Below are 24,328 nucleotides of genomic sequence, written 5' to 3' on the forward strand. Positions count from 1 at the left end.
CATACATTATCTGGGTTACCAATTTCAAAAATTTATAATATATTCAACAGAAACTATGTTGAGCAGATCTTAAGGACTTGAGTCTTTTCAAAAGGCTGAGATACAGAAGAACCAGCCACTTCACAGCCACTCCCCTCTTTTTCAGAGTACAGTAACTCATACTTCATCTCTCTACTTACATCAAGCACACACTTCCAGGTTCAGAGTGGGTAGAAAAGTAAACGTGAGTGGCAGCTATGAGAGACATAATGCCGCACCCGGTAGGATGTGTTCCATAAGGGCAAAGTTTGATAAATCTCCCTTGGACTCGGTAAGAAAATGTTTTTCAAACCCTATCCCAGCTGTTGTTGGATGTGAGACCTGTCTGTTCTCAAATGGTTGTTGAACTTCCTTCTGAGGTGCTGGTGATCTATTTTTAACAAGGAAATATTTCTATCTTGGATGTGGTATACTGGTATTTTCACCATGTTGCATTTCCATCTCCTTATATTGACACATCTAATAGGAATGCTAGTTAAATCCTTCTTAGTGGAACACCAGGTAATTTTACCTATTAATTAAGGGCTCCTTAAAAAAAAAAGTCAGCATTTAAATGAGCAATATTTTACTTGGATTTTGGAGCAAGAACACTGTAATAAACATATCTTTTTTTCTGCTGGCTAGGTAGAAAGGCCAGCTGTTCTAACTGCCAACAAAAACCACGAGACACATCATGCTTTTGCTGCTATCGAAAAGGTCTTTTGATTATTTTGCTTTCCCAGCAAAGTCCACATTCCTGAAGGAATATACTCTAAATAAACTATACAAAAAATACCTACTTTAAACTTCTGGTTAATAAAAATAAGGTAAGTGTACTCTTGTACACGTATAAAAAGGTATTGCTTACCTGGCTGGCTCCTTTATTAGTGCCCATCTGCAGACTAATTGTGGTCTGGTCAAAAGGTTTGTCAGTTTGCATTTTGGGATCATAAAGATGCCTCCTAGTCCCGTAAGCTGTCATACCTGCCTGGCTGGCACATTTGTTGGTTCCCATCTTTTAAGTTAAAAATAAAATTGCACAAATTATCAGATGTCAACAATATACACAACACAAACAAAACTTTCCATGCTACCAAAAAGACAGAAGGGGCACAACCGACAAGTTACTGAGCTGAGGCTCCAGTCAACTCTTCTATGTGTCTACAAACAAATTTCAAGTGCTAACTTTAAAAAGAAAATTTTAAAGTCACTATAGATAAAAACTCATACATAGAAGAATTAAACACACTTTAACAGGTGGACTGACACACCAAAAGTCATTACAGTGGCAGAATAATTTCCTCTGCTACTCTTTCCCCAGATAACCAAATTAAGAGGTACCAGCTTCGGTTATTTCAACAGAAGTAATCCTAGGCCAAGCAATATGCTGTTCTACTCCAGGAATGTTTTACATAAAATGTGAAAGCAAATGCCAAGTGTTTTCTCTGGGAGCTTAACAAGGGCTTTTTAAAGTTTCAAAATCACCAACATTTTCTCCAGAAAGGAACCACATTTTATTCCTGTAACTCCCATGTCCTTGGACAGAGCTGGAGAAAGGTGGAATGAGGAATTTGAACTCAGCAAAGTTCAGGGAAACAATAATTAATTTTTCTTCCCCACTGAGAACAGTATGGCTTCAGGACCAACCATTACACCCTGTTCCACTGGTTAGGCACACTTTTCTGATGTTGGATCTTTTTTCTTTAAAAATAAGATTAAAGAAAATCTTTATTACTAATATAAAATCTGTTCATTGAAGAAAATTCAGAAAACACATATAAGCAAAAAGGAGGGGGGAAAAATCATTGTGATACCACCATCCATTCACTGTCAACATTTGTGAATATCCTTTTAGCTTTTTAACCTATGTGTCTATGTATATATCTATAGATGCACATATATACAAATACATACAAAAACATGTGCATTTTTAATTTTAAAAATCCATACTGACCACAGTATTTGATGATCTGATTTTTTTCCCCCATAACCTATCTTTTCAAACTCTAGTGTATAATTTTACATTACACTTTGCTTTTATGGAGTTGTAATTCAACCAACTGACTACTGTTCTGAAATTTAGGTTTCCAGTTTCTCACCACCAATACAATTTTGTACTGTGTAAAAATAAATCTAACTTGCATAGACTCAGTAGAAAGGGGCACTGTATCAAGCAGGTACAGTGGCTTTTGGAGAGTAAAGCCAACAGCATTTGGGGAATTAGCAATGACGTTTCCATGACCAGTGAAGAGAACAATGAAGAGAAGGAAAACATCTGAACTACGTATTTCAGAAGAATTTAAACTGACAAATTCTAACAGGGCTTGGCTGCTATATCATGATTTGGTACTGTAAATAAGTGACTTTGGCATTAAGGTCGTGTAAAATTGCCTAATTTGGTCAATAACATTAAGGAATTTATAAAGTACATTTCTGGCTGGGTGTGGTAGCTCATGCCTGTAATCTCAGCACTTCGGGAGGCCAAGGCAGGAGGACTGCTTGAGCTCCAGAGTTTGAGACTATCCTGGGCAACAAAGTGAGATCCCATCTATATATAAAAGATAAAACAGGCCAGGTGCAGTAGTTCACGCCTGTAATCCAAGCACTTTGGGAGGCCGAGGTGGGCAGATCACCTGAGGTCAGGAGTTCAAGACCAGCCTGGCCAACATGGTGAAATCCTATCTCTACTAAAACTACAAAACTTAGCCGGGCATGGTGGCTCATTCCCATAATCCCAGCTACTTGGCAGGCTGAGGCAGGAGAATTGCTTGAACCCAGGAGGTGGAGGTTACAGTGAGCCGAGATCGCGTCACTGCACTCCAGCCTGGGCAAAAGAGTGAGACTCTGTCTCAAAAAAAAAAAGATAAAATAAAAAATTTAAAAGTGTATTTTTCTTTTTTAAAAAAAAAAAAAAGACAATATGATTCAATTAAAAATTTTCGTTTCCTGGAGAAATAATTGTCAAGTCAGGTGGCATACCTGAGGTTTCCTCTAAAAAATTATCACTGTCTTATGGGCTTTATAAATAGATATAAATTGTATAAACTACACCCCCCCCCCAGTACTATAGTACTTCTGTCTATTCTTAGGAGAGGCTTAATATTTTGCATGGTGAGAATTAATCATATTGAATAAGTAATTGAATAAGCAACACCACATTACTTACCTGCAGACCAATTACACTTTGGCCAGCTTTTAATTTTCCTTCATCAAAACGTCTTGTTTGTTTTTCTGCATACTTAACTCCAATGTCAATGGTTGTATGGAATCCTTTTGTTTTAGCCTAGACAGAAACATGCACACTAACTGAAAAGGCCAACAGAGTTTCACAGAAGGAACAACAAAGAAATGATATGTCCATAGACAAAGGGGCCCAAACTAGAGATAAAAAGTATTTAAGGCTGTTCAATAATATACTGCATCATTTGAAATGTGAGTGTTCTAAGTAAGCTATCTAGTACGATGCAGCTGATGTCAGCAGCCTTTCCACAAAGCTACTAATTACAGAAGAGACAGGCCCCGCCCCACCTGGTCTGAACCCCCATGAAAAAGCAATGATGCAATTCATCACCAATGTGGTGGGAATCTGTTAACCAGCCATTAAAGACATGTACGTACCAGACCTGCTAGAGCCACCAGAGTAGTCTGAACCTGGGTCATGTTTCCATTCTCAAAAAGATCATTTGCTTCGAATATGTCATGTGGCTTCATACCATAAGCCTGAATAGCTTTAATAAAGTTGCCAATATTCTCCAACTATAAAGAAGAAGAGTTTTATAATTTCTGGAGCTAAATATTGACATTCATAATTTCTAAGAATTCCAAGTCTTCATAAACAGTTATAAGACGCTGCCCAGAAAGCTGTTTGACAAGGATTCAACCAAATACATACTAAGCATGGCTCTCTCTGGAACAGGAAAGAGCAAGAAGAGAGTGTGTCTCTCACTGTGGGTCACATCACAGTCTTAATATTTTTAAGCAGTTACGTGTTTTCAGTTTTTATGGGCAAGATCTTCCTTATATATTTTAAAAGGATTCTGTATCAGAGCTATCCAGGCCTGGAATTTTATTTGTCAAAAGGTGTATAATTACTCATACTAATAAATAATTCATTATGTGTTATTTTAATTTCAGAATACATTTGTGGTTACTAAATACTCATTCTCTCATATCTCCAAACACATGTTCAAGACCAGTAAGTATCCCATTTTCCTTCCTCATACACACTCATGAACTAAGGTTATGTCTGATACAGTGCTCTGCAGTCCACTGTTAGTTATGTGGAATGCCTTGTTTTTTCCCTTATCCTTAAGGTCTGGGTTGCATTTCTCTGTGTAAGCTGTGTCAAGTCCTTTCTGAATGTACACAGACTAAATATAGGAAAACTTCTAAGCTAAACGTAATAATTACAGAACTAGTTAAATAAGTAATTACAGAACCATTACAAAAGGGCAAAAAATTAAATATGCACAAATTTCTGCTACAATGTCTATGTAAAAACCGTAATCAAAAAGTTAAAAAAAAAAAAAACACAAAACCAAAAAACCAAACCTGAAATCAAGTTTTCACTACATAAAATGCAACCAACTAGAACCAGAGGTGGTTGGTTTGGCTGTTACCTGAGGCCAGTTCAGTGAGGACTCGTTGACCTTCTTCACTGAGCCTGGCTGTAGCTTGTTTATAAGTCTGAAAAGAAAAATATGAGAGACATCTTATTTACTGGCACACAAAAACAAGGATTGAAATATCAAGTTGCTCCCTTTAGCATCAGTAAGGGAAAGCATTAAAGATATCTGTAGAATATCAAGGTCTGACACCCTGGGCTGAGAAGGAGAGTGAGAGAGAAGGCTGTGGAAAGAACTGGAAGAGCAGAAACAGATTCTGGAGGGCTGTAACTCACTCGCAGAGGATGATGCCATCCTTTAAGCCCAGCTGGAAGTTGGGGCCAATGCTCATGCCTGTCACCTCTTCTATCCAATTGCGAAGATCTTCTTCTGCCTGATGATCATACTTGGAAGCAATCTGAAATACAGGTTAACTCACTTTAGAAGAATTTCACAAAAGCATCAGAAACTGCCGACTCACAACGCGCTCTGCTTTCACTAGCCATTAAGACCACAGCTGTGAAGTGTAGTAAATGACACTCAATAGATCTCAATGGCAAACTTAACCGTTACAACTTCAGTAACTAATAACAAATTTTTGGTGAAGACCGTGTCATACAAAATTTTGAACAGACCATGGAGAGGCTGGGACTGACAAGGAGAGAACATCAATCAAGAGACATCAGATTTCATGATCCACAGGAAGTGACAAGGATTTAATGGTATGTTACAATATGGCACTCAAACTTTAAGGTTTAAGTCATTAATCACCCTATTCCAAAAAAAGCTGGGGAAAGGATTCTGACACATGCAGTTATTTTACAGAGTATCTCACCTGGCCAATACATAACATTCCAATAGTTTTGTTGACTGGAAAGTTCTGGTATTTGCCTTCTATTCAGCCAAATACACACTATATACTAAACACACACACACACACTTTCCTCAGTACTAATTACTGTACAATATTTAAATTCTGTTTATGTAGTCTCTATCCTATTAGACTTCTTACAGGCAGGAAAAGCATCTAGTTCATTCAGATTCTTAGTATCTAGAATTGAACCTGACACCCAAACATGTGATAAAACTAAAAGAAAGTTTAACTTTTTACTTGCAGAATTCAAAAATAAAGGCCAACTTACCAACACAAATGCTATGCTATTATACATGGTAAAACTATTAAACATAAGTTTTGAAAGATCCCTTTTTAATAAGACCAGACCTCAATTTAAAATAATTGAAAAAATAAAATTTAAACAAAATATTGTGAAAAAAATCACATGCCCAAGTTCTTAAGCTATCCCTTGTCCTGGAGTCCCCTTAAAGTGGCTGGTCAATCAGGGTTATGGAGAACACAGCTGAGGCAGGCATAGTGGCTCACACCTGTAATCTCGGCACTTTGGGACTGAGCTGGGTGGATCTCTTGAGTCAGGAGTTCGAGACTAGCCTGCACAACATTGAGAGACCTTGTCTCTACTAAAAATAAAAAATTCAGCTGGGCTTGACGATGCATGCCTGTCATCCCAGTGACTTGGAAGGCTGAGGTAGGAAGATCACTTGAGCCCACGAGATCGAGGCTACAGTGAGCCATGATCACACCACTGCACTCCAGCCTGGGCAGCAGAGTGAGACCCTGTCTCCCGCCCCACTGCCAAAAAAAAACCCACAGCTGGGAAGAAGGAAAGATCCAGTATCATTTGTCTTCTCATTCAGCACTGGTGAAAATGCCAAGTATACATAGGAAATGCTCAGGAGATAGAGATCATGAGCTTGGGAATCAATTACATCATTGGAAATGGGAATGAAGGTAGAAATGTCTGCTGTGTCCATAAGACATAGGGAGGTTTAATCATTGGAAGAAATGAAATGGCATCTTGACATTTTAGTCACAAAGAAGTCCCACAAGTTCCAGTCTACACCACTCACGGAGGAACCAAGCAGAACTGTGGGAAATGCCCTAGGTTCATAGTGCCAGAGCATATAGGACTGTGGGCTGCATTCAGGTCCTTTCCAAGGGAGAGAGCCTGATCACCAGGATCAGGACAGACATTTACGAACCTGGCCAGCTTACCTGTAAGTCACCCAACAGTGAAAACCAACGCTGAGTCTTAAAAAACAGATTCAAAGCGTACACTTGATCACAGTTCCTTTTTGTGTCCATCAAAAGCCACAACAGCCTTTTAACTTCTCAAGGTAGGAAAAACATCCCGTTTCCCAGGTCAAGTAGGTGGAAATGTCTACATTCCAGGTCCCCCTCTTGAAGGCTCACCATGCACCTGAGCCTGAGAGATCCCCTGGCACATAATCAGACCACTCCTGGGCTGTTTTCAGGGCCTCTTTTCCCCTCCCCGCCACGCCAAGGCATGAAGCTTCTGCTTTGACTGAGAGAGGGCAAATGATTTCACTAAATTACTGTGGCATTAGGGAGATGGCAGTTCTTGATCCTTTGCACCCTTTACCCAAGTTGGAGAAATGGCTCTACAGCTTTGACAGAATAATGGATAATTGATTTGAACTGTAGATTTACTTAACCAGAATTACAAAAGAAAATCCAGTAAGTTTATATTTTCATATTAAGACGACTAACTTTGCAGTGTTTCATGGATCAAGTCTGGCCTGGAGGTTAGTTTATAAAAGACAGTCTTAAATACAATTTGTTTTCCAGGCTAGTCTCAAACTCCTGGTCTCATGCAATCCTCCCGCATCAGCCTCCCAAAGTGCTGAGATTACAGGCATGAGCCACCACCCCCTGCCTCCATTACTCCTATTATACCTCAGATAAATATTCTTGGATAATATATCTCCTCCAACACATCAAATAAACCCATTTTTATGGCACTTTTAGAAAATAAAACAAAAATTGGCAGACACATTTTTTAAAAATATTTTTTTTTGAGATGGAGTCTTGCTCTGTCACCCAGGCTGGAGTGCAGTGGCGTGAACTCAGCTCACTGCAACCTCCACCTCCCGAGTTCAAGCAATTCTCCTGCCTCGGCCTCCCGAATAGCTAGGATTACAGTCACACACCACCACGCCACGCTAATTTTCATGTTTTTAGCAGAGACGGGGTTTCACCATGTTGGCCAGCCTGGTCTCGAACTCCTGACCTCAGGTGATCCGCCTGCCTCGGCCTCCCAAAGTGCTGAGATTAAAGGCGTGAGCCACTGCGTCCAGCCGATAGACACGTTTAAGTCTTGACTATATTTTTACACTGGGGTCTTGTTCTGGGTGCCTAGAAAAATAAATTCTCACTATATAAACTGGAGGTGGTGGTATGAAAGGGGATAGGCAAAGAAGAAAAGGAGAAAAGAGTACTCCTCAAGCATTAACTATGGAAAGCAAATACTAATTGTAAGGTGATTTTTTTTTTCCCCAAAAGTGAGGGCGTTCTCAACTAGGAGATATATTTTGATCAATCTGAAGAAAAACATAATATGCTAGGGTGAGAGGAGTTCTGCCTTGGCGCCATGCCTGGCTCCATCTATCTTTGCTATGGGCCTGGGTTAGTTCCTCTAACTTCTCTCGATCCAAGAGGAAGTCTAAACTGGATGCCTGCACTAGGTCCGTTCCTACTCTCAGCTATCTACACAATTTGGTCAAATAATAAAAAACTGAAGAAGTATTTTCTCGTTTCTTCAAATGTAGAGAAAAATTATGTTAGAGTAGTTTGGGATATTTCACAGGATGGTGATGGTAATTCTCATACCAAATGACATCAATTAATATTTAAGCAGAAAAACATTAAAAGCATATTTATGCATCCTTTGTTCAAAATGTGTCCAACAGATTTGGTGCCATGCCCCAAACCACGAAGTGACTACAGACCTAACTTGAAATATCCTAGTAGATCCCAGTAAGAAGTTTTCACCTTCTCTGTTGACAGTTCTTGTCAAGGAAGTGATGAGATAGAAAAATCAAGCACTGGAGTCAGATGGACCTCAGTTCAAATCCTGGCTCTACCAATGAGTGGTTGTGGGGGGGAGCTCTGGACAGGTGATGCTGTCCTTGAGACTTACCATATGACCACGTGCACAGAAGAAATTCGTATGTACAAGCATGCAAAACTCAAAGCCCCATATGATCAATTAAAAATTAAGACTAGGAATGCAGCCACATCAAATAACTGTTGGTGTGGGCTAAGGGTTTCCTTTAAGTAAAGGAGCAACAGGATTCTCCTATCCAAATACTTCGAATATTTTTCTAGTAAGTGAGCTTTATGCAGTCAGGCCAGCTAAACAGCATTATCTTTTAAAATCAAGGAACTGAGAGCAATTTAAAAAAGTAATCTTTGGCCAATAAAAATGATTTACTATCTTCATCTAAAAAGCTTTAATTTCTCAACATCTGGCAGAAAAACGCTGACATTTTCTTTCTCTCAACAAAAGAAAGTTAGCTTAAAATAATTGCTTAAACTTACCTCATTAATACTTCATGGAAATTTCACTCTAATTTACTTAAAAATTACTCTTCCTGACAGGGCGCAGTGGCTCACGCCTGTAATCCCAGCATTCTGGGAGGCCAAGGTGGGCAGATCGTGAGGTCAGGAGATCAAGACCATCCTGGCTAACACGGTGAAACCCTGTCTCTGCTAAAAATACAAAAAATTAGACGGGTGTGGTGGCGGGCGCCTGTAGTCCCAGCTACTTGGGAGGCTGAGGCAGGAGAATGGTGTGAACCCGGGAGGCGGGGCTTGCAGTGAGCTGAGATGGTGCCACTGCACTGCAGCCTGGGCAACAGAGCAAGACTCCGTCTCAAAAATAAGAAATAAAAATAAAATAAAAATTACTCTTCCAAGTTGTTGATAAACATCCTTTTCTTTATTCTTCTTCAAGATTTATTTTCTTGGCCTTCCCAAGCTGCTTTCGCAGACTTTCTGCCTGGCTCTTTCAAATCCACAGCAGCCCCTCTCTTTATATGCCCACCTTCCTTTCTTAAACACGCACACATTCTCCAAGCAGTGCCTGACAGCCTTCTTTGCATCAAGGAGCACTTACAAATGATCCAGAGACCGAGGAGAATACTGTCTAGGCACACCTGCTGGAGACTCCTCCCCGAAACTCTCCAACATCCCTCTAGCCAGATACAATCAACATGTGAAGATAATGAAGACCAAGAAAAAAGCCTCCTAGGGCATAGGATACAGCTGATCCTCCTCCCTACATTCAGCGATTGGCCTGCTCTGCTCTCGCTCCTCCGACAGCTTCACCTGCTCCTCTTCATGTTCCTGTGCCTGGGTCCAGGGCTCATCCTGTTGTGGTCGTGGTGGCGGCTTCAGCCCTTAGAGCTTCCCTTGGCTCTCTCCTCAGGACAGCTAAGAGCACCAGTGTGGAGTCACCCTTCAGTTCAAATGCAGATCAGTCCTTTCTTGTTTCATGACCTTTCTTTAGCCCTCACTTTCTTTTGTAATTCTAAAATAATAATTGGTTTTTTGTTGTTGTTTGTTTGTTTTTTTGAGACGGAGTCTCGCTCTGTCACCCAAGCTGGAGTGCCATAGCGTGATCTTGGCCCACTGCAACCTCCACCTCCCGGGTTCAAGCGATTCTCCTGCCTCAACCTCCTGAGTAGTTGGGATTACAGGTGCCCACCACCACACCCAGCTAATTTTTGTATTTTTAGTAGAGATGGGGTTTCGCCATGTTGGTCAGGCTGGTCTTGAACTCCTGACTTCAGGTGATCCGCCCACCTCAGCCTCCCAAAGTGCTGGGATTACGCCCAGCCAATTCCAAAATAATAATTTTTTTAAAAAAATTAGGCTGGGCCAGGCATGGTGGCTCAGGCCTGTAATCCTGCAACTTTGGGAGGCTGAGGCAGGAGGAATCCTTGAGCCCAGGAGTTCGAGACCAGCCAGGGCAATATAGGGAGCCCGTCTCTTTAAAAAAAAAAAAAAAAAAATAGGCCAGGTGGGTGGCTCATGCCTGTAATCCTAGCACTTTGGGAGGCCAAGGCAGGAGGATTGCTTGAAGCCAGGAGTTCCAGGTTGCAGTGACTGATAATCATGTCACTGCACTACAGCCTGGGTGGCAAAGTGAGACTCTGTCTTTAAAACAAAAATAAACAAATAAATGATATACAAGTATGTAGCGCATGCATTCTCAACAGGGGTGGTGGTGTCCCAAAGAGGTGAAAAGTGTTTCTTGTGGTGGTTTCTACCAATGGTGAAAAAAATCTTAAGACAATACAAAAACTTGGGACCCTCCAAAGCTCAACTCTACCCAACAAAATCTTATTCCTTTGTACTAAATCTAGCAAGGGATAGGAGGTAACTAGGAACAATGTCTAAAACAACTCTTGGAGAAGGTGATCATGAAAACAAGGTTAAGAAACACTGAGATAACACTAAAATGTACAAGTCTCTCCCCCCACAAATCACACTCCATTCCCAGAGGGAAGGGCCTATCCTTCAGCCAATTATTCTTCCAGCCCACAGGCACACATATCACATATCACTATTAATCATATATCCAAGAGCTCTGGACTAAGACCACCTTCAGAAACACAACCCCGAGGGCCTATGTGTCCTAACAGTGAAGGCAGACACTAGAGCAGATACAAGCCTACCAGCTGCTGGGAAACAGCCATGCCCCTCCCTGGCTCTGAAATTTGAGAAGCTTCCCCCTAAGAACCCTCAGAAAGGGAGAAAGAGTAAAGGGAGACCTAGCTTCAAAAAGCACCTCCACAGCTGACCCAAAAGCTCGATTCCTGCGCTGTTGAATGGTACTTCTCGGTGTACGCCGAGAGCATTCAGCTCAAGTACCATTTGAAAAAAAGATGGGGGCACATCTGCCATGAGGTAGAGTGATGACATTCATGTACAAGAACTGTCTGATGCCCCCATTACACCCAGGACATTCCAGAATCTACTGAAGAATGAAGACTGCTTGTTTTTCACATGGATTCCTTCTCACAATGTATTATCATCACAGAGCTTGTTCAAACCTGGAAGCAGACAATTCCTGGTTATTGTCCCCAGTGATTACAACAGTCTCCCTAATTTCAGCTGTGGCTCCCCGTTTTGAGCCACCAGGATAATCCTGCATTACTCCAAACTCTCTAAGTAAACTCGTATTCAACATTAGCTTCTGTTTTTCAAGTGTTCCGTGTGTTCCTTAGATTCTTCTTTCATCTTCTTTCTCCATTAATCCTTCTTTCTGTCCTTCATCTAAATGGCTAGTTCATATCAGGCACAGTTCAAAGGCAAAGTCTCTGTCCTAAAAGCTTACATTCTAGCAGAAAGAGACAAATATTAAATACGGTGTATTAAAGAGTTCACAAAAATATATATAAAATAGGGTGTTTAAAATAAAGAGAGAACAATGGGGGCTAACATGGTCCCAAAATAGGAACCAAATAGATTTCCATCTCAAGTATCAAGATTCCTCCTCTCCTTCCTTCTCACTATCACTTGCTATTCTTGGTATCTCATGCAAGGACAATGAACAGGTTTCAACATTTTCATCTACCCTGTCTCTCCGCAATGAATCCTATAAACATTTACTGAAGATCACACGCTTTCAAGTCAAACTTCAAAACCCTGTGTTCCCAAGTTCCAGTGTGACCTTGGCAAGTAACTGAACCCAGGTCACCCCATTTCTTGTGGGTAGACTCCTTCCTTCCAGGGCCACTGTGAGGATGAAGCCTGTTCAATAGGAATGGAACCCACCGCAATACCTGACACACAACAGCATGCACGCCCTCCAATTTTATCAGCTCCAGGTACAGAGCATTCTATTAACCAAACCCCACTGCAACTTGTTCAATCCATTGTTTGCAATAGCAAAGAAAACCCCACTGCAGACAGGCTCACCTGGGATGCCAGCCTTCACCACTGTCCACTCCCTTTACCACTCTTCCTGAGGCTGGTTCCTGCCTCTCTGTCTTTGCTAAAGCTCTTCTCTCTGCTTAGAATGTGTTTGCATCCCGAATTCTTATTCTTTTTCAGATTGTTGCTGACAAAAAGGACAAAGGAACTATTTTACAAAATCAGGCATGTATCTTATGGGGGGTGGGAGTGGGAATTCTAGAGAAAAACATTTTACATTTGGGACAGTGATGTCAAGATAGAATGCATGCTTTTCTTGAGGTCACCACAGAATCTAAGACTCATTCCATGGCACGAACGTGCTAAAGATTTGATGCGGAGGAACTAGACATTTAAAAGCTGTGGAAAATCATGCTCGCCTCAGGTAAACAGAAGTAAAGTCCAGGAGCATTTTAAAGCCAGGTCCTCCTCTCAGAGGTACAACTGTGTCTTCAGATCAAGGTATCAGCATATGGCACCAACCAGCACAAATTTTTCCCCTCCAAATGTCTATAATCAGGTAAATACAAAAACATTATGACTCAATATACAAATATTGTGAGACTGACAAGAAATTAAAGCTTCAAAAATTACTAGGACGGGTGCAGTGGCTCACACCAGCAATTTGGGAGGCCAACACTGGAGGATCACTTGAGTCCTTTGAGACTAGCCTGGGCAACATAGTGAGACCCTGTCTCTACAAAACCCACAAAAATTAGCTGGGCATGATGGCACACACCTGTGGTTCCAGCAACTTGGGAGGCTGAGGTGGGAGGATCACTTGAGCCTGGGAGGTCAAGGCTGCAGTGAGCAGAGACTGTGCTACTACACTCCAGCCTGAGTAACAGAGGGAGACCCTGTCTCAAAAAAAATATAAATAAGCCAGGCACAGTGGCTCATGCCTGTAGTAATCCCAGCACTTTGGGAGGCCGAGGCAGATGGATCACCTGAGGTCAGGAGTTTGAGCTCAACTTCGCTAACATGGTGAAACCCTGTTTCTACTACAAAAAAATTAGCTGGGCGTGGTGGCACACATCTGTAGCGCCTGTAATCCCAGCTACTGAGGCAGGAGAATCGCTTGAGCCTGGGAGGCGGAGGTTGCAGTGAGCCAAGATCATGCCATTGCACTCCAGCTTGGGCAACAAGAGTGAAATTCCATCTCAAAAAAAAAAATTTTATATATATGATTAAAGAGGAGCTGGTCCAGTGCCTAAAGCAAAGAGTATAACAAACGGTAGAAAGATGCAGAGCTAACAGAATGTCAATTTTGTCTTCTCTGTCTAGAAAATGACCTTTAGACTGCAAAGCTTAGAACACATATAGTTTATAGTGGATTTTTGAAAGTTCAAATCTAAACAAGGAGCGAACAAGTATAGACACTGGATTCCCAGAAGAATCTAGACTCAGAAATAACAAGTAACAAAAAAGTGGGTATCAAGCAGCTCACTGTGAGAGAAGCCTTGGCAAACGGTAGTAACTAGAACCTAGAGAGAAGCCTGCTCCCACTCCATCCCCACCCAGAGGGCAAGGATCTATTACTGGCTGAAGAGCCCGGCAGGCGCCCTCCTAGAGTGGACTCTTGGGGAGAGAGTGTGCAAGCAAGCACTCAGGGAGAAGGGCAGCCATCACCAAGGCTGCATGGACACACAAGGCATGTCCAAGAACACCTGCCCATGTCCCCTCCTTGAGGGGAGGTCAGGCTCCTGTTCATCTTAGTAATCCTCATGCCCATGCCTGATACATAGTGGGCACTCAATCCATGATTTTTCACCCACTGACAGGATTACCAGCCTAGGGAAATGCCTCAGATTTAAAGATCTATCTTGTTTCGGAAAGGCATCTGCATTTGAATGTCACTGCCTTTTATGGGCGTCACATCTCCTTGATCTGCCAATCTGGTAATCTTAGATGGCCCACTAGGGATATAATTGCATTACTTTCTCATAAAAGTTCCTTATGTCTAGCGCACTCCTGAAGTCCAGTTTAGTAACCCTAGAAGGAGGGTACAGTCAGAAGGAACACCATGCCCACTGTGCTGATTATGTCATGGCAGAGGAAACTCGTGGTGATGTGTACCTCAATGTTTGGATTTAGATGTGTTCTCTTCTGTTTTGGTCATTAATGACTTGGAAACTACTTGGCATACTTATTAAGGAAACTGGGAATCAGAAGGATCTTTCTTACGTTAATACACAGTTTATTCAAAATATATGTCAAATCCTGCCCCAAAGTTTTAGAACTAGTAACACTTACTCAGTGAGTTGAGTAAGTTAAAAAGCCAACACTATCTTGGTCTGCATAGTTATACAATTCTTCATAAAATAGTATTGCTTATTTGTTTAAATCAAAACAGCCCCATGAGGTAACCAAGGAAAGCATTATTTATAAGAAACGGGTGCGCATGGAGTTCATGTGAGCCATAAAACCTCCCAGAGTGATCATCACCATACTTTATAGACTGGAGAAGTCAATTTGACAAAGCAAGGATTAGAATCCTTCTTCTACACAGAGTTACCTTGTCTACCTGGCCAAGTGATTCTGTTGGTTAAAACAGGAGGAGCTAAAGCTTTGTAATCAAAGGAAGTCAGTTACCAATCCCAGTGTACTCTGGTAGGTTAAACCACATCTGTGGCAATACTATGATCAATTCTGAGTGATGCATTCTGAAGGGACACTGATAAGCTGACATCAGTTTCTAGAAGGAGTAAACTAGGTGGGGAAGGGATTAGAAAAACCATATATAGCCTATTATGAGAAACTGGCTAGCCAGGAGTGGCTACATATGACCTGGAAGTTTAGGAGAGGCAGGTTAGCTCCCATCTAAATATTTAGATGGAAGTCATATAGAAGAGAGAGTTGATTTATTCTGAGTGACACACAGAGGACAGGCCAGGGAAATATATGGAGAAATTCCTGAGAGATGGACTAGAAGCAAACAGGCATGGAAAAATATCATGTTTTGAGTGCCAATGAAGCACAGGCAGGAAGAGATGACCTCCAAGAAAGCTTGTTGGAGAACATTCTCTCACTGGGAAGAAGGCCAGCCGGGTCTTGAATTTTAGAGATCTGTAGAGATTTTGCTGAAAGGAGATCTTAGCTGAAGCCCCACAGGTAAAAAGAGGTGAAAATAGAGATGTTCCTCAAGTTTTTGTTTTCTTTGTCTCACCACTAGAATATTTAAGAGTCTAACAAACTCATTCCCGCATTTGTAGGTATCAGCTCTTTGCCACTCTCCAGATTGTCAAGCACTGTCTCTTCAGCAGGACCTCTAGGTGCCTCCAAAATAACCCTTGAGTCAGGAGCATGGGTAACACTGAAGAACTGTCATTTATCTTTCCATAACGACAAGGCACATGACCTGTTTGCAACTTTTCTGTAGTTTCAGAATGTACACTCACTCCTCATCAACTCTTCAGCAAGCCCGCTCCATAGGACAAGCCTCAGTCTACTGTGACTCAAGGAAGGCATGAAATCCACCTCAACGTCATTGTCCCAAAAGTTCGCTGTATTGTTCTGAAGGAACTTGTCTCAACCAGCCTGGGGAACCCTCATCTCACAGATCACTGACCACCCGCATCCCCATGCTCCCATCTGCCAACCCCAAAACTGAGTCGAAACACCACGCGGCTCCTTTACTGAAGGTTATTATTGGGACAAGGCATGAAAGTGGGCCAAGGAGAAATGGGATCTCAGCCCTTTGGGTCAGCCTTAGTAAATCTGGAACTCCTCTTGGAGTCTAGATCCAGGTCTAGATCTCAGATTGCAAATGCTTTTTTGCTTACTACAATGGAGTCTGTCCATTTGAGAAAGGTGGCTTTACACAACCAGCTATGAACAGAGAGGAAATCGAATTTTAAACATGGGATAGATGCTGATGGAATCTTACAGATATGTTAACTGTGCAAAAGAGCACCATTTTTTCCCCAATGAAAATGAGAAAATATGACATTTCCATTACAAAGTAGGATAGAATTTCCCATTTTCTCTCTTTTTTTTTTCAAGACAGTCTTGCTCTGTCACCCAGGCTGGAGTGCAGTGGCATGATCATAGCTCACTGAAGCCTCAACCTCCCAGGCTCAAGCGATCCTCCCACCTCAGCCTCCTGAGTAGCTAGGACTATAGGCATGTGCCACTACAGCTACCTTTTTAAAAATGTTTTGTAGAGATGGGGTCTCCCTGTGTTGCCTAGGCTGGTCCCATTTCCTCCTTTTAAAAATATTCATACTGTGCCTTATGAAATACCATACAAAGGTATTTTGTACTTTCTGAGACCCTAAGTAAAAAGCCATTAGGTTCATTTTGCTTTTAATGAGGATGTGTGAAAAAAAGATGAAGTCAGAGGCAAGGCTCAAACACCTGCATGCCACCAAATCCTACACAAATGCCACCCAAAGATAGGCTGGATGCAAACTGAAGTCCAAGCTTCTTAAACACCAAGACAAAGAGGGACATAATCAACTACAAGATTCAGAGTTCCTCTAAAAGAAAGTCAGCCTGAACATGGTTTCCCCTTTCCAGTCCCGAAGTCTGCAAGGATCTTATGATGAAGTCACAGGGGACCCTCCACATCGACAGTAAAGGTGAACTCCATATTTTACATAATTGTAATGCAATCTGAGAGCATGGATGAGGGAGAAAATAAGTTACCCTGAAAGCATTACATCTTCCATCAGAGTGCTATGCCCCAACACAAAGGTCTCTTGGAGATAATACAGTAAAGGCTTGCTACAGACAACCAGGCTCTAACAAAATAAACCCAACTTCCCATCCCTTCCAGATCAAGGGCCAATGGAAAGAGGAGAGTGAACCAGTGCCCAAGCTCCAAAGGGGCAGCCCAATCAGCAGTGCGCTCACAGGGAGGGCTTAGCCTGGGCCATCTCTTCCTATTCCTGCTCTCTTCCCCATCGGACATCAGTGGCTCTAGCATAATAAGGTCAGGAGCAAAGTGACACCCCTATTTCAGATGAAAAGAGGACTTCTCCACATCAGTGCTGCGTTTTCATGGTCCTCTTCCCTTCCCCTTCTGAGCTGGGCCCCTTCTCTTCCCACTGACCCTCCTGCCCTTCTGCTTTGCCCCCACACACCATCTGTTTTGGGCTGTTGCCTTTACTTGGTCCATCAATGGGCACAGGCTACCCTGTCTTCCCTGAAATGGCAAATTTTTAATTGAACCTGCTGCCAGCCTCATACACTGTCCTGTTTGTCATTTATTTCATGCCAAGCCTGCCCATTTCCTCCCTTAGTACTCTCTCCTAACCCCTGGAAATTTGCTCTACCGACGATCTCTCAAAAGGTCACCAGTGCAGCCTGGGCAACACGGTAAAACCCTGTCTCTACGAAAAATACAAAAAATTAGCCAGGCATGGTGGTGCACACCTGTAGTCCCAGCTACTCGGGAGGCTGAGGCAGGAGGATTGCTTGAGCCCAGGAGGTCAAGGCTGCAGTGAGCCAAGATCATGCCACTGCACTCCAGCCTGGGGGGAAACAGGGGAGGGGGATTGCAGGGAGTGGGGAACAGAGGACGATCCTGTCTCAAACAAAACAGGTCATCAGTGACTTCTCAGTAGCCAAATCCAGTGGCCTGTCTCCAGTCATCCTCTGGGCCTCTCTGTAGCACCTAGTATTTTCCAGGAGGGCCCTCTAATCTCTCCTCCTCCAGCTTCTTGTTAAAGGACTTTATCCTGGGATTTCTTGCTCTGGTCTGCCCTCTCTGGACTCAGTACCCTCTCGTCTTGAAAGATGTCAATTCTCCCTGAGCTCTGGCCTCAGATTAAAATGGTTAGGAGCAAGGGCTCTGGAAACTGAATGCTTGAATTAGAAGCCCATTTCCACCATGCACAAAGTTTCCTCTGCTTCAGTTTTCTTCCCTGCCAACCAGAGATCATTAACAGCACTTACATCAGAAGGTTACTGGGAAGAATCAATGAGTTAATTCACATAAGTTGTAAGAACTCAATAAATGTCAACACTTATCCTTCCATCTATGCTTTGCTGGCCATTCCAATCAAGATACTGGAAAGATTTCTTCCTTTGAATTCAATATATCATTAAAAACCACTTACTTGACATGATTTGATAGCCATTTTGATAAGATATCATTTTAAAGCTACCTAAAGCTTCCTGGATTTTTTGTTTGTTTGTTTGTTTTTGAGATGGAATTTCGCTCTTGTTGCACAGGCTGGATTGCAATGGCGCGATCTTGGCTCACCGCAGCCTCTGCCTCCCAGGTTCAAGTGATTCTCCTGCCTCAGTCTCCTGAGGAGCTGGGATTACAGGCATGCGCCACCATGCCTGGCTAATTTTGTATTTTTAGTAGAGATGGGTTTTCTCCATGTTGGTCAGGCTGGTCTCGAACTCCCGACCTCAGTTGATCCGCCCACCTCAGCATCCCAAAAAGTGTTAGGATTACAGGCGTGAGCCACTGTGCCTGGCCAAGCTTCCTGTTTAAAAAACTATTATCAAATAATTTGTGGAAAAAACGCCCTCATCCCAGCCCACTGTCAATTCCCACCTGAGTCTGCTGGGGACGAGGGATGGAGTAGGGATTACAGATGTCAATGACTCATGACTTGGTAATAAAGAAACTAAAACAAGTTACTTTTTTCTTTTTTTAACATCAAAAGATCCTCCTCCTCTTTCTTACCATTGGTAGGAACTAATTTTTTTGGAGAGCAATTTGGCAATATCAAAATACATTTAAATGTTATGTCAAAAGTTACACACTTTTCTACACAAGTACTTTTAAAGGAAATATCCACCAGCAGGGAAGCAGTGAATAATCAGTGGAAATCCATACAACAGACTATAATTCAGTTTTCAAAATGGTTGAACAATATTCAAAGCAGTACAAGCACTTAGGGTAGGAGTAAGGTATACAGGATACTTTCACTTATTTACTTTTCTATTTTGGAACTGTTGGCATAAAGAGAAGTGGTTCTCATAAGCAAGGAAGATGGCACCCTGAGGTAGATGTACTGTCTTCATGCAGAGATGACTTGTCCAAAGGTTGTGGGCTCAGCAGGGATTCGGACCCAGATCTGACTCCAAGTCTAAGTCTTTTCCATCATTGGATGCTCCCCTATCCCTACTCTACAACAAAGCTGAGAGACAGGAACTCTCTGTACTATACACAGTCTTAGCACAGGCAACTATGCTATCTGCCTGAAGATGCTTAGACTCTGGCTTAACATAAAGTCCTTTTAACTCATGGAGATGTGACAATATATCCAAATGTACCCACCACCAATATCATCGTATCAGACTAATGCACATGAATATATTGCCCAGTTGTAGAAAGGACTAATTGGGCCGGGCACAGTGGCTCATGCCTGTAATCCCAGCATTTTGGGAGGCTGAGGCAGACAGATCACCTGAGGTCAGAAGTTCAAGACCAGCCTGGCCAACATAGTGAAACCCCGACTGTACTAAAAATACAAAAAATTAGCCAGACATGGTGGCATAGGCCTGTAGTCCCAGCTATTCAGGAGGCTGAGGCAGGAGAATCACTCGAACCCGAGAGGCAGAGGTTACAACGAGCCGAGATCACACCACGGTATTCCAGCCTGGGCGACAAAGTGAGACTGTCTCCCAAAAAAAATAAAATAAAAAAAAAAAAAGTCGGCAAGGGGTGGGAGGAATTGATTTAAACAAGCCCATAGGAATCCTTAGTTCCAAAGCGCATTGCCAGCACAGTTCAAAAGTTCATAAGGCTGGGTGCGGTGGCTCACACCTGTAATCCCAACACTTTGGGAAGCTGAGACGGGTGGATCACTTAAGGTCAGGAGTTCAAAACCATCCTGGCCAACATGGTAAAACCCCATCTCTACAAAAAATACAAAAATTAGCTGGGCATGGTGGTGCGCGACTGTAATCCCAGCTTCTCAGGAGGCTGAGGTGTGAGAATTGCTTGAACCCAGGAGGTAGAGTTGCAGTGAGCCAAGATCGTGCCACTGTACTCCAGCCCAGGTGACAGAGCAAGACTGTCTCAAAAAAAAAAAAAAAAAGTTCATAAGATATTTGGCAGAGCTGTTTCAGACTAAAAACACTTTAACTCTCCCACTGGCCCATATGAAGACCAACCTCCTGCCACATGCATGTTTTTTGAAGGTGATGTAAGACCAACTGCAGGAAAGGGTGTCACTAAAGAAGAAAAAGAAGGGGGGGAAGCTCAGAGATGAATAAACCTTGAAATGAAAATCTGGCTGGCAAATAATGCGTCTGTATGTAAGCAAGGAGAGGTAGGGATGGGGTTTTTAAAAAATACAACATCCAATTCTTTGAAGAAAGATAAGGAAAATCCACCCCAGTATTCAGAGTAGAGAATGGAACCATTCAGGGGAAGGCATCTAGCCATAGGTGGACTCTAAAGAGCAGCCCTAGGGTTCCAGCTCAGCTGCTAAGGCCCAAAGACCACAGCAAGCTCACAAGATGATGCCTAATGTACATATAATTTCTACACTCAATTAGAAGCAGAATATGATTGCTGTTGCTATTTTTGCATTCAAAGTGGAATCACATGTTTGAATTAACCAACAGCAGGACAGAGACTTGCTACACATGGTATTGATTGTTTTCTCTCCTATTTCCTCCCACAAGAAACAAAAGGAGACCAGGAAATTGTGCACTAATGAAGCACACTCTATCCATTCACAGAGCCTGGGTAACATTAAGGGTGAGAAGCTGCAGATAATGGAGAAAGATCAGTGTCCAAACATTTGGGAGTGGAGGCGGGAAGAAGCAATGAAGCCATAGCCCGCCCAGTGTGGCCACTCCACAGCTAGAGTTCCCTGGAAAATTATCCAGCAGAGGGGAAATAACCATAAATGCTTAGGTTACAACTGACCCAGAAGAGTCCTTCCAAGCACAAAAGGCCTCCTCTTTTCTCTGCATTCATGCCTCCAATTCCCTGGCCTTCCCACCGCAGACACAGCACTCAACAGTCACGCCCACACCCTGAAGCTTCCTGGTCCCTCCCTACCTTGTGGGGGAAAACTAAGCATTAGTCTTCTCCACTCAAGGACTTGCTTCACACAGGTCTAGGTAGAGACTTCATAAGAACACATAAACTCAAAGCCTCCAGATTCAAGCAAGCCAAATTCAAACACTTGAAGGAAAATATGTTAACCAGCTAGCTGTGGAGGAATACAAGCCCTATCTGAAACCAAGAAAGGAAAGATATATCTTATTTAAAAGGAATCAACCTGTTAGAAAAAGCAGAATACAACCAAGCCCGGTAAGCAAGACCTCTAGCTCTACAGAGAAGTCCTCAGCCCTAAGGGCAATGTGGACAGAATGGTGCAGATCTACAGACCTGGTGCTTTCACTGTGGAAATGCCTCACACGCTGCCTGGTGGTGGAGTCCTGGATAAGGACTCTGGGGCAGATCACATTCCTGACACAGAAATGAAACACAGTAGTACTGCTTGGTGTCATGTCCCCTATCCACCAGAAATCTCAGGCAGATACAAACAGATTCGTGAATGAATATTAAAGTTCTAGAGATAATATCAACATCCAGAAGAGAAAAAGCAGCTCAGAACACAAGACTGAGCCTAATTAGCAGAGAACCAGTCAGCAAAATGAAACCATGGCTAAAATTTATATAATGTGGGCTTTTGATTCCAGGCATTATTCTAAACACTTTACATGGATTATCTATCTGATTTCTCCCAACAACCCTATAAAGATGAGTGTTATGATATCCTCATTTTACATACAAGACAGGCAGGTTAAGTCACTTGCCAAAGTTCACAGTAAGATGCAGAACCAGGAATCCAACCCAGTTCCCACAGTCCATGTTCTTAACCACTAAGCTCTACTTTCCCTGACAAGAACCTTGTATGACAGGTATGGAGAAGTCTTCAAGTTCAAAAGGGTTCACATGGCCATAGGTTTTTGTAAAACTTAAAAGATATTTATATATTTTTCATAATGAGGACCCCCAAATTGTATAAACTTCGTCCCCACAAACAACCTGGATCTACCTATGAGTTCCAAGAATCCTTAACAAAAATCTGAGGGTACAAGTACACATAAATAAGTTAAGAGCCCATTTGGGCTATAAAATAAGTTCAGAGTTAAGGAGAGCCAATGCACATGGTATATGCTACAGGAGGGTAATGCCTAGATTTAAATGGAACTTGCCAACAAATTCTAAGGACAAGCTTTCTCCAACCACCACCTAGTTTCACTGAGAAAGAAAATGCAGGGCTGGGCACAGTTGCTCACACCTGTAATCCCAGCTCTTTGGGAGGCCAAGGCAGGTGTTATCACTTGAGGTCAGGCGTTTGAGACCAGCCTGGCCAACATGGTGAAACTCCAACTCTACTAAGAATACAAAAATTAGTCAGATGTGGTGGCAGGTGCCTGTAATTCCAGCTACTCGGGAGGCTAAGCCAGGAGAATTGCTTGAACCTGGGAGGTGGAGGTTGCAGTGAGCCGAGATCGTACGACCTCACTCCAGCCTGGGCAACAGAGGGAGACTCCATCTCAAAAAAATAAAAAAGAGAGAGAAGAAAATGCATTTCCTCACTCTCCTGAATACAATGCTAATGATGGGTGAAAAACCAAAACGATCCAATTGTGCTTACTTTTTTTATGCCGCAGATCAGATTCATTATGACTTTAAGGATACACTGTTAAAGAGGGAAAGGAGGCAGGAAACACTAACCCTCATGTCCCAACCTGGAAGGGAAACAGGCACTGGGGAAAAAAAAAGCCTATACCTCTGTTGATGGTGGGTATTAGCGATGTCATCATTGTCAAGATTGTTTCTGAAATCTAAAGGACTGTCTAGAGACAGAACAATTTCCACAAATGTTAGACTGTAAAAAATCAGTGAGCCTGACGATAATCCTCGTTAAAACTCCAGAGTAAATAAGGATGAGAATTTTAAAGAGGAAGCATGGTATCTCTTGTCACTTCAGCAAAGTGTATCTTATTTATCTGTTTTGGTCAAGACAGGAAAACAAAAACTAAAGCAGACCAACAGCAATAGCTGGTTCCTACCAGGAGCAAAGTCCCTGGCTGAATGGCCCCTTCTCCAGCAGTATTCAGGAAAATGCAGGCACTGGACAAATCCTTGCAGAGGACACCTCTACCATTCCTAACTTGGAAGTCTAAGAAAGAGCCCAGTCAAAATATCTATCTTAAGAAATAATCCCAAAATCAGCAGCAAAGATGAAAAATTTCAACATAATATTAACTATTTAACTACTTAAGAAAAACAAGGCTAGGAATGGTGGCTCACACCTGTAATCCCAGTGCTTTAACAGGCCAAGGCAGTAGGATCACTTGAGGCCAGAAGTTCAAGACCAACCTGGGCAACATAGCGAGATCAAAAAATAAAATATTTTTTAGAATATTTTCTTTTTAACCACATCCTTCAAAATCATCACACTTGCACTACAGAATTATCTTATTTAGACTACAGAGTTAATTTCTAACTTCTTATGTCTAGAGATAGCAAAATCTATTCCCGATGAATAAATTCATTAAATCAACAAATATTCAAATATTTATTGAGCATATGCTATGTGCTAAACTATATTGTAAAATATCGATCTTGAGACACACCCGCGAATAAGAGAGCTTTATCTCTGGTGGGAAGAGACAGATAATAAGCAAACAAAAAAAGATTTTAATTAAAAACCAATTTCTGAACTTCCAAGTTTAAAAAGAAAAAAGCTAAGCCCACCAACACATTTTTACCAAGATTCTGGTGCTCTACCAGCAAGACAAGGCAAACCACCCTCGAGTGTAATTTATAGCTGGGTCACCCTGGGTTACTCTGATCAGAAGTACCCTCAGAGCAGCTGTGCGTCTAAAGCGCACCCGGCAAACAAGCTAGGAGGACTTCGCGGACACTGGTCCTATCTAATTATTACTGTATGATTGTTTAACTTCAACA

General features: G+C 42.2%; 1 protein-coding gene across 5 annotated transcripts in view, besides 4 other annotated features; it reads right to left on the reverse strand.

Annotated features, from left to right (window-relative positions):
• CNN3 (calponin 3) overlaps positions 1-24,328 on the reverse strand; it is a 30,154-nt gene that overhangs the window by 1,528 nt on the left and 4,298 nt on the right. For 2 of the 5 annotated variants that reach the window (NM_001839.5, NM_001286056.2), the window contains exons 2-6: positions 4,919-5,040; positions 4,638-4,704; positions 3,637-3,774; positions 3,185-3,301; positions 887-1,033 (exon numbers count right to left, since the gene is read on the reverse strand). In NM_001839.5, the coding sequence (NP_001830.1) occupies positions 887-1,033; positions 3,185-3,301; positions 3,637-3,774; positions 4,638-4,704; positions 4,919-5,040 (591 nt within the window). Of the gene's footprint in view, positions 1-886; positions 1,034-3,184; positions 3,302-3,636; positions 3,775-4,637; positions 4,705-4,918; positions 5,041-12,426; positions 23,738-24,328 lie in introns of all 5 variants that reach the window. The other 3 variants (XM_047444486.1, XM_047444480.1, NM_001286055.2) reach the window with 3 other exon arrangements.
• Positions 11,940-12,876: an enhancer, noted in NCBI's record as "H3K4me1 hESC enhancer chr1:95375980-95376916 (GRCh37/hg19 assembly coordinates)". NCBI's record gives its function as "activates a minimal SCP1, AML or CMV promoter by ChIP-STARR-seq in naive H9 embryonic stem cells {active_cell/tissue: H9 hESC(naive)}" and the evidence as "EXISTENCE:reporter gene assay evidence [ECO:0000049][PMID:30033119]".
• Positions 11,940-13,274: a biological region, named in NCBI's record as "BRD4-independent group 4 enhancer GRCh37_chr1:95376115-95377314".
• Positions 12,075-13,274: an enhancer, noted in NCBI's record as "BRD4-independent group 4 enhancer chr1:95376115-95377314 (GRCh37/hg19 assembly coordinates)". NCBI's record gives its function as "activates an origin of replication core promoter dependent on BRD2, P300/CBP, MED14 and CDK7 cofactors, and independent of BRD4, by STARR-seq in HCT116 cells {active_cell/tissue: HCT116}" and the evidence as "EXISTENCE:reporter gene assay evidence [ECO:0000049][PMID:35650434]".
• Positions 21,559-22,059: an enhancer, noted in NCBI's record as "H3K4me1 hESC enhancer chr1:95385599-95386099 (GRCh37/hg19 assembly coordinates)". NCBI's record gives its function as "activates a minimal SCP1, AML or CMV promoter by ChIP-STARR-seq in primed H9 embryonic stem cells {active_cell/tissue: H9 hESC(primed)}" and the evidence as "EXISTENCE:reporter gene assay evidence [ECO:0000049][PMID:30033119]".

Source organism: Homo sapiens, chromosome 1 (assembly GCF_000001405.40).
Source record: "Homo sapiens chromosome 1, GRCh38.p14 Primary Assembly".
NCBI lineage: Eukaryota > Metazoa > Chordata > Mammalia > Primates > Hominidae > Homo > Homo sapiens.